This window comes from Homo sapiens, chromosome 19 (assembly GCF_000001405.40).
Source record: "Homo sapiens chromosome 19, GRCh38.p14 Primary Assembly".
Classification (NCBI taxonomy): domain Eukaryota; kingdom Metazoa; phylum Chordata; class Mammalia; order Primates; family Hominidae; genus Homo; species Homo sapiens.
This window is the reverse complement of record NC_000019.10, coordinates 53,573,589-53,583,001: the sequence shown is the minus strand read 5'-3', so window position 1 is coordinate 53,583,001 and position 9,413 is coordinate 53,573,589. Positions and strand designations below refer to the sequence as shown.

Below are 9,413 nucleotides of genomic sequence, written 5' to 3'. Positions count from 1 at the left end.
TCTTGAACTCCTGACCTCAGGTGATCTGCCCACCTCGGCTTCCTAAAGTACTAGGAGTATAGGCATGAACCACTGTACCGTCTCCACTAAAAATACAAAAATTAGCCACTCTGTAGCTCAGGTTGGAGTGCAGCGAGGCGATCTCAGCTCACCGTAGCCTCCTGGGTTCAAGCCATTCTCCTGCCTCAGCCTCCTGAGTAGCTGGGATTACAGGCGTGGGTCACCACGCCTGGCTAATTTTTGTATTTTTAGTAGAGACAGGGTTTCACTAAGTTGGCCATGCTGGTTTTTAACTGCTGACCTCAGTTGATCTGCCTGCCTAGGCCTCCCAAAGTGCTGGGATTACAGGCATGGGCCACTGCGCCTGGCCACCTCCGGGATTTTTTTTTTTTTTTTTTTTTGAGATGGAGTCTTGCTCTGTCTCAAAAAAGTGCACTGGCTGGATCTCAGCTCACCGCAACCTCCGCCTGCCCGGTTCAAGTGATTCTCCTGCCTCAGCCTCCCGAGTAGCTGAGATTGCAGGTGTGCACCATTGTGCCGGGCTAATTTTTGCATTTTTAGTAGAGACAGGTTTTCACTGTGTTGGCCAGGCTGGTCTCAAACTCCCGACCTCAAGTGATCCACTCGCCTCAGCCTCCCGAAGTGCTGAGATTACAGGCGTGAGCCACCGCGTTGGCCCACCTCTGGGCTTTTTATATAAACTTTGGATTTTGCTCCTTGAGCCAAGAGTCCTGCCTGACACACATTCTTCCCATATTTCCTTCTGGGAACTAACCCTGTCCACCCAGGCTGTCTTCCTGTGCCTTGGCTGTGTCCTGTAAGGCCAGGCCAGTGCTGCCTTTCTGCACAGCCTCCTCGTTTCTCAGTATTCTCCCTACCCCTACTCCCACATTCCTCCAGCCTCCTCTCACTGTCTTCCACCTGCTTCTCCTCTTCACACTCCTTCCCCTGCCCTTCTCCTTACCCCACCCAGCTCCTCCTCTGTTTATGCGGGAATGCTGGGAAGAGCAGTGGCCCCACCATGCGTGTTGCTCTTGGTGGCAAGGAAGGGACCCTGGGCCCCTTCTGCTGAGGCTGGCGTAGGGTCCACAGGGGAAAGGGGCACTAAGCAGGACGGTGCCGCCTATGAGGTTGATTCCTAAGGGTACTGAAGCCTAGACCAGAAAGATACCCAGCTCTGAAACCTGGGTCTGGAACCCCTTCCCCAAACATGCTCCCTCACTTCCCCACCACCCCTGGAGAATCTGAATCCTTAACCTAATGCTGAGGTATTTGTAATCCGAGAACTAAGCAGCTTTGATTGAAACGTAACCCTACCCTTGAGGTAAATCAAACAAGCAGGACTTCAACCCTATATTCTGGATCCTTTGCCAACCTTTATAGGACACCCCTGAGCTCTAACCACACCACCATCCCCCGTGCCTAAGGCTCTCCTGCAGGATGTAGCGTCCGCCCTCCATCTCCGCAGCTGCTCTCAGGAGCACTCCAGTCCTCTCCCAGCCCCAAGGCCTCTCTCCAGGCCTCTATCCCTTCTCTCCCAGAATTCATCCCTGAGCTCTAGCCAGGCCCTCCCATGCCCATTAGCCACTCCTCTGCCCCGTCAAACTCACTCCCATGGGGTCTAGAGTCCTCCCCAATCCATATTCTCCGATTCCTACTATGGGCTCTGGTCCTTTCCCTAAGGTAATCCTACCCTCAGCCTAGGACCATCTTAAGATAGTTCAGGTCTCTCCCCTGAGTCTGTGTCCGCACCTCCCCCAGGACTCTGTCAGAGGTGTTTGAACCAGAGCGACTCCATTTTGAGTGCGGGCTAGGAAAATGAGGCTGAGACTTGCTGGGCTGCATTCTGAGAAATGTAGGCAATTCCGAGCCTCCAGATGTTTACGGTTAAGGGAACAAATTATTAACAGTTACTAAACAGACCCACACTTGGGAGTGTCCAGATATCCTGATATCTGGAGAACAAAGGCATTCCTAGTTTTGCTTTAAAGATAATATCAATTCTTGCAAAATAATGAAGAGAATGAATCCTTCATCACAAACCCTTGTAGCAGAGCACGTCTCCCCATATATGTGAGCATTGGACCTAGGGTGGATGCGTTCCTCCTAACGTCAGGAGCGTCCAACACTGTCTGTGGAGTAGCTGTCCTTTCGCCACTTTTTCTGTTTTTGAGATGGAGCCTCCCTCTGTCGCCCAGGCTGGAGTGCAGTGGTGTGATCTCAGCTCACTGCAACCTCTGCCTCCCGGGTTCAAGTGATTCTCCTGGCTCAGCCTCTCGAGTAGCTGGACTGCAGATGTGTGCCCACACACCTGGCTAATTTTGTATTTATAGTAGAGATGGGGTCTTGCCATGTTGGCCAGGCTGGTCTTGAACTCCCGACCTCAGGTGATCTACCCACCTCGGCCTCCCAAAGTGCTGGGATTACAGGCGTGAGCCACCGCACCTGGTCCCACCACTTTACTTTCTTAATAAAGTTGCTTTTGCTTTGCACTGAGGACTTGTCCTGAATTCTTTCTTGTGTGAGATCCAAGAACTCTCTCCTGGGGTCTGGATTGGCACCCCTTTCCTGTAACAACTCTACTCTGGGCCCTGACCCCGTCCCCAGGACCAGTCCGCTCACCTCCCTCCCGCGCTGTCCCTGCTGTGGGCACCGCTAGGGTTTAGCAGAGGTCCAGTCTGCTGGCGGGGTTCCTTCTTGAATAGGTCGTGTTTGAATATCCAACAAAGAGACCTGCTCATCTTTGATTTTATTAATATTTGATTGACAAATAATAATTGTATTATATTGATGGAGTACAATGTGATGTTCTGATACATGTATACAATGTGGAAGGATTAAATCAAGCTAATTAACATATCCATCACCTCGCTCCCTTATCCTCCTTCTTTGTGGTGAGACATCTGAAATCAGCCTTGTTATTGTGATTTAAATTTAATCATCCTGGTGACTGTCTAGAGTGACAGCACATTGTGGTTTTACTCTACAGTTCCTTGAGGAGCAATGACATTGAATACATTTTCACTTACTTATTGGCCATTTGGTGGTCTTCTGTTGAGACGTGCTGAAGTTTTCTCCCCTTTAAATTGATTTTTTTTTCAACTTGAGGGATTCTTTATATTTTCTATGAGAGTTCCTTTGTCAGGTGTACCTTAGAGCAAACATCTTCTTCCAGTCCTGTTTCTTGTCTTTTCCCTATCTTAACAGCATCATTTGATGAACAGAACTTTGTACTTTTGATGAAGTGTAACAACTTTTTATGTTTGCTGTGTTTTGTGTACTAAGAAATCATTGCGTAACCCACGGCTGTGCCAATAATCTCTTAATGTTTTCTTCTAGAAGACTCAATGGTCTTTTCCAGACTCATTGCACCCACAGGGAGTTTTCTTGTAAAAATTCACTAATGGCAACACAAATGGTAGTAATGATCATAAAAACAACAATAGTTATTATTTATTAAAATTACACAATATTCCAGTTACACTTTCAAAGACTTTACATGTACCAAACATTTAATTTCCATGATAGCAGTCTCAGGTAGATGTGATTATCCTTATGTACAAATAATGCACATAGTGTCTGTGTGCTGGACAACGCACAGGGGTAGTGAGCCTTTGGCCCAGTGTCTCACAGGGAGGAGGGCGGGGGATGGTGGGGACAACTGGTAGAGTGGGTGGCATGACCAAAGGCTTTCTCACGTGTTACATTAGCAGGGTTATTCCACAGATGCCACGGAGTAAAGACAGAATGGTACTGGTAGTCTTTATGTATTCATTAAACTAACCCACACAATAAAAACATCTACACCAAAAACAAGATCATTCAGAAAAAGTGATTTTTCCACTCTTCAAATTTGCCTCTAGAATGACTTCTGATATTCTGTAAGCAGAAGAGTGATCAGTGGGCTAGGTGCAGTGGCTCACGCCTGTAATCCTAGCACTTTGGGAGGGCAAGGTGGGTGGATCACCTGAGGTCAGGAGTTGAGACCAGCCTGGACAACATGGTGAAAACTGTCTCTACTAAAAATACAAAAATTAGCCAGGTGTGGTGGTGCATGTCTGTAATCCCAGCTACTGGGGAGGCTGAGGCAGGAGAATTGCTGGAACCTGGGAGGTGGAGGTTGCAGTGAGCCAAGACCGTGCCACTGCACTCCAGCCTGGGCAAGAGTGAGACTCTGTCTCAAAAAAACAAAAACAAAAACAAAAACAACAGTGATCAGTGAAGCCTTACGTTAAACTGTACCAGGAATTTTCCTCCTGTTGAGGAAGGAATGGATGTAGTCTAGAGGCCTTCCTATATTCTTTGTACAGCAGTCCCCTCTCACCTGAGGGGGGTACGTTTGAAGACCCGCAGTGGACACCTGAAACCACAGATAGTACGTTTTTTTCCTGTACATATATACGATACTATATACTACATTTTTTCCTGTACATACATATCTAAAGTTTAATTTATAAATTAGGCACAGTAAGAGATTACCAACAGTAACTAACAAAATAGAACAATTGTAACAATATATGTAATAAAATTATGTGAACGTATCTCTCTCCCAAAATATCTTATTGTCATGTAGATCTTAGCAACCTCAGTATATGATTTTTTTCTTTTCTTTTTTAAGTTGAGAACTTTCACCTTTTCATTTAAAAGGAAGCACTTTGTGGCTTCTCTTTGGCATATCCGAATCACCAGCATCACTACTCCTGCTCTCTGGGGCCACTGTTAAGCAAAGTGAGGACTGCTTGGGCACAGGCACTGTGATGCTGGGATAGTTGATCTGATCACCAAGACGGCTACTAAGTCACTAGCAGGGTGGGTGGCGTATACAGCGTGGATGTGCTGGACCAAGGGATGACTCACATCCCCGGCCGGCTGGAGCCGGACAGCGAGAGATTTCATCACGCTACTCAGAAGGGCACACCATTTGAGACTTAAAATTCTTTATTTCTGGAATTTTCCATTTAATATTTTTGAACTGCAGTTGACTGCAGGTAACAAACTGTGGAAAGCGAAACCATAGATACGAGCGGGCTACTGCGTTCAAAAGGCTCTTCAACTGTTGTGGATCCTCTGATGTTCTCGGAGATGGTTTAGGTGGTTACATGCCTTCCCGCACTCCTTACATTCGTAGGATTTCGCCCCACTGTGCGTTTTCTGATGTTGTGTAAGCTGATGGCCGTGACTAAAGCTCTTCCCACATTCTGTACACCCATAGGGTTTCACCCCGGTATGAATTCTCTCATGTTTCACGAGGCTCGATCCATAAATGAAAGCCTTCCCACACTCCTTACATTTATACGGGGTTTCGCCTGTGTGGATTCTCTCGTGCTGAGTGAGGTGATAGCCACAATTGAAGGCCTTCCCACATTCTGTGCACTTGTACGGCTTCTCGCCCGTATGTATCCTCTCGTGCTTAACGAGGCTCGAACCCCAGCGAAAGGCCTTCCCACACTCCTTACATTCGTGAGGCTTCTCACCGGTGTGGATCTTCTGATGCTGAGTAAGGTAATTGACTCGAGTAAAGGCCTTCCCACATTCTTGACATTCATAGGGTTTCTCACCTGTGTGAATTCTTTTATGCTGAATGAGGCTTGAACCACAAATAAAAGCCTTCCCACAGTCTTTACACTCGTAAGGCTTCTCCCCACTATGAATTCTCTTGTGCTGAATAAGTTTATACACACGGCTAAAGGTCTTCCCACAGTCTTTGCATTCGTAGTCTTTCTCCCCAGTGTGGAATCTCTGGTGCTGAGTGAGCTCATCACCACGCCGAAAGGCCTTTCCACAGTCTTTACATTCATAGGGTTTTTCACCAGTATGAATCCTCTTATGAATAACGAGGCTTGAGCCCCATCGAAAAGCCTTCCCACAGTCTTTACATTCGTAGGGCTTCTCCCCAGTATGAATTTTTTGATGTTGAGTAAGCTGATTGCCCCAACGGAAGGCCTTCTTACATTCTTTACATTCATAAGGTTTCTCACCAGTATGGATTTTCTGATGTTGACTAAGTTGATAGCCACGACTAAAGGCCTTCCCACAGTCCTTACATTCAAAGGAATTCTCCTTATGATGTCTCTGATGTGTTCTAGGAGGGGTGCCTTCTCTAGTAGCAGGTCTTTTGACATAATTGATGATCATCTGATTGACATACCTCCCTCTGGAGCGCTGTGGTCTTTCAAGCGTACCTTCACATATCCAGTTACGGCCAAGGGATTTACTTCTTCTATCTGAATTCCTTTTGGAAGCCCTTATTTCATGAATGTTTTTTTCTGTAGGTAAACTCTTATTTTCATATGCTGACTCCAAATCTGGGAAAAAAGAACATATTTTCTTTCCTTTAGAGGGACACAAGTACAAACGAACCTAACCACAAACCAAAAACTCGTCTAATAGAAATAAAAATTATCCAGTAGAATAAATGTGAATCACCCAGGGCTCTTGTTAAAATGTAGATTCTACTTCTGGTACAATACTAACTGAGAATTCATTGGAGACATCTATTTTAAAGTCAGACATGAAAAAGGTCCCGACAATTAGTCCTATTATTTCCTATTTTGAAGATGAAAACAAGTATTTGTAGATGATGTGATGATATACTTGGAAAACCAAATATAGAAGTACTGTAACAAAACAATATGCAGTTGGATGGCTGTGTGTAAAGCATTCTGAAACTGATACACGTATATGTCAGTAGTATTATTAAAAGTAACTGGTAAAGGGCCGGGAGTGGTGGCTCATCACGCCTGTAATCCCAGCACTTTGGGAGGCCAAGGCAGGCAGATCACCTGAGGTCGGGAGTCCGAGACCAGCTTGACCAACATGGAGAAACCTTGTCTCTACTAAAAATACAAAATTAGCCGGACATGGTGGCGCATGACTGTAATCCCAGCTACTCGGGAGGCTGAGGCAGGGAAATTGCTTGAACCTGGGAAGCAGAGGTTGCAGTGAGCCGAGATCATGCCATTGCACTGTAGCCTGGGCAACAAGCATGAAACTCTGTCTCAAAACAAAAACAAAAAAACAGACTGGGCACGGTGGCTCACGCTTGTAATCCCAGCACTTTGGGAGGCCGAGGTGGGCAGATCATGAAGTCAGGAGTTCGAGACCAGCCTGGCCAACACGGTGAAATCCTGTCTCTACTAAAAATACAAACATTAGCTGGGCATGGTGGTGGGTGCCTGTAATCCCAGCTACTCCGGAGGCTGAGGCAGGAGAATCGCTTGAACCCGGGAGGCAGAAGTTGCGGTGAGCCGAGATTGTGCCACTGCACTCCAGCCTGGGTGACAGAGCTAGACTCCATATCAAAAAAACAAAAAACAAAAAACAAAAACAAACAAACCCTGTCTGTACTAAAAACGCAAAAATTAGCCAGGCATGGTGGTGTGAGCCTATAATCCCAGCTACTTGGGAGGCTGAGGCAGGAGAATCGCTTGAACCCGGGAGGTGGAGGTTGCAGTGAGCCGACTGAATAAGACTCCGTCTCAAAAAAAAAAAAAAAAAAAAAAGCAACTGGGTAAAAGAATACAACATTCAAAAGCAACAAAAAAGATAATTTACGAGACTAAATTTAATAAAAAATGTGAAAAAGTTTAGAAGAACAATAAGGAAAAGTTTAGAACTTGAGCATCAATAAGGAGGCTAACTGCAAAGGACTGAGAAACAGCAAACGTTTAAATCTATAAGTTCATAATGATACTACAAAATGTTAAATGGCCAGCTCTGGAACACGCTAGGAAACCAGACCTTTATTATAAAAACTGGCAATTGGCTAGGTGCAGTGGCTCACGCCTGTAATCCCAGCACTTTGGGAGACCGAGGTGGGTGGATTACTTGAGCTCAGGAGTTCAAAACCAGCCTGGGAAACATAGCAAAACCCTGTCTCTACAAAAAAAATACAAAAATTAGCCAGGTGTGGTGGTGTACACCTATAGTCCCAGCTACTTGGGAGGCTGAGGTGGGAGGATGGCTTGAGCCCGGAAGTCAAGGCTGCAGTGAGCCCAGACTGCACTACTGCACTCCAGCCTGGGAATCAGAGTAAGACCCTGCCTCAAAAAAAAAAAAAAAAAAGAAAAGAAAAAAATACAACATAAAAACTGACAAAGAAAAAGAACAAAGTTTTTATCCTTCTTATCCAATATGAACAGTGCCACTGCATGAGCAATTAGCAGATGAAACAAAGTTTCTCTTTAAATTATAACAGCTGATAAATGAAGGGGCAGTGATAGGCGCGCACCATTTGAGCCCCCAGTGTGATGAATGTAAGCAGTGCCAATGACTGCCAATGGCAAAGAGGAGCTACAACCAGACACCAGGTGCTTCATGGTGGTGACACATTAACAACACCCGGGAAGCAGTACTGCCAACACCTAGATATGAGAAAAAGAAAACGGGCACTTAAAGCGAGGCTAACCCACTTTCAGGAATGATAAAGGGCAGAGGACCCTGTCACCTCTACCCGCTACTAAAGGCGTGGCCCACAGACCAGCAGCACCAGCAGCACATAAAATGGGGTTAAATATGACAGGAAAAACAAGGTGACAGGGAAATGGGGTGAAGATCAAGTTCGTGGTAAGATCTTTCTTTCCTAGAGGCTTTGGGCCTGAGCTCTTGGAGAAAGCTCTCCAACACCTCAGGGTGTGCCTGTTCCCTGCCCTGTGGGGATGCTCTTTGTACGGGTGGCTGACTGGCTCCCACTTTCCTCCGTATTGTTGTCTTGTCTCTTCCCTCACAACCATCAAGGCTCTTTCCCTTAATTCTATAAGACAGTACCTCTGGCTTAGAAATTATATGCCCTCCTTTAAAAAAACGAAATGCTAGAGGACATAGAACTTGAGGAAAAATTTCAAGCTCAAAACTTCAAAAATTCTTTAAAAATTATTTTTATTTTTTGAGAGGGAGTCTTGCTCTGTTGCCCAGGCTGGAGTGCAGTGGCATGATCTTGACTCACTGCAGCCTCTGCCTCCCAGGTCCCAGCAATTCTCCTGCCTCACTCAGTCTCCTGGGTAGCTGGGATTACAGGCGCACACCAGCACACCGGCTAATTTTTGTGTTTTTAGTAGAGACGGGTTTTCACCATGTTGGCCAGGCTGGTCTTGAAGTCCTGACTTCAGGTGATCTGCCCGCCTTGGACTCCCAAAGTGCTGGGATTATAGGCGTGAACCACCATGCCTGGCCTTAAATTTTTTTTGATTGAGTATTAATCAAATTTATAACAACCAGAAGTCAAAATGCTATTGAGCCAGGTGCAGTGGCTCACGCCTGTAATCCAGCCTCTTTGGAAGGCTGAGGTGGGTGGATTCCTTTAGCCCAGGAGTTCAAGATCAGCTTGGACAACATGGCGAAATCCCATCTCTAAGAAAAAACACAACAATTAGCCGGGTGTCGTGGTGTGCACCTGTGGTCCCTGCTACTCAGGG

The 9,413-nt window shown here is 46.0% G+C and overlaps 1 protein-coding gene across 30 annotated transcripts in view, besides 1 other annotated feature; it reads right to left on the bottom strand.

Moving 5' to 3' along the window:
• Positions 2,733-9,413, bottom strand: part of ZNF331 (zinc finger protein 331) — a 77,035-nt gene continuing 70,354 nt past the window's right edge. For all 30 annotated transcript variants that reach the window (XM_047439049.1, XM_047439057.1, XM_047439058.1 and 27 more), the window contains one exon: positions 2,733-6,305. In XM_047439049.1, the coding sequence (XP_047295005.1) occupies positions 5,050-6,305 (1,256 nt within the window). In that variant the 3' untranslated portion in view covers positions 2,733-5,049. The remainder of the gene's footprint in view (positions 6,306-9,413) is intronic.
• Positions 4,947-6,146: an enhancer, noted in NCBI's record as "P300/CBP strongly-dependent group 1 enhancer chr19:54080110-54081309 (GRCh37/hg19 assembly coordinates)". NCBI's record gives its function as "activates an origin of replication core promoter dependent on BRD2, BRD4, P300/CBP, MED14 and CDK7 cofactors, with strong dependence on P300/CBP, by STARR-seq in HCT116 cells {active_cell/tissue: HCT116}" and the evidence as "EXISTENCE:reporter gene assay evidence [ECO:0000049][PMID:35650434]".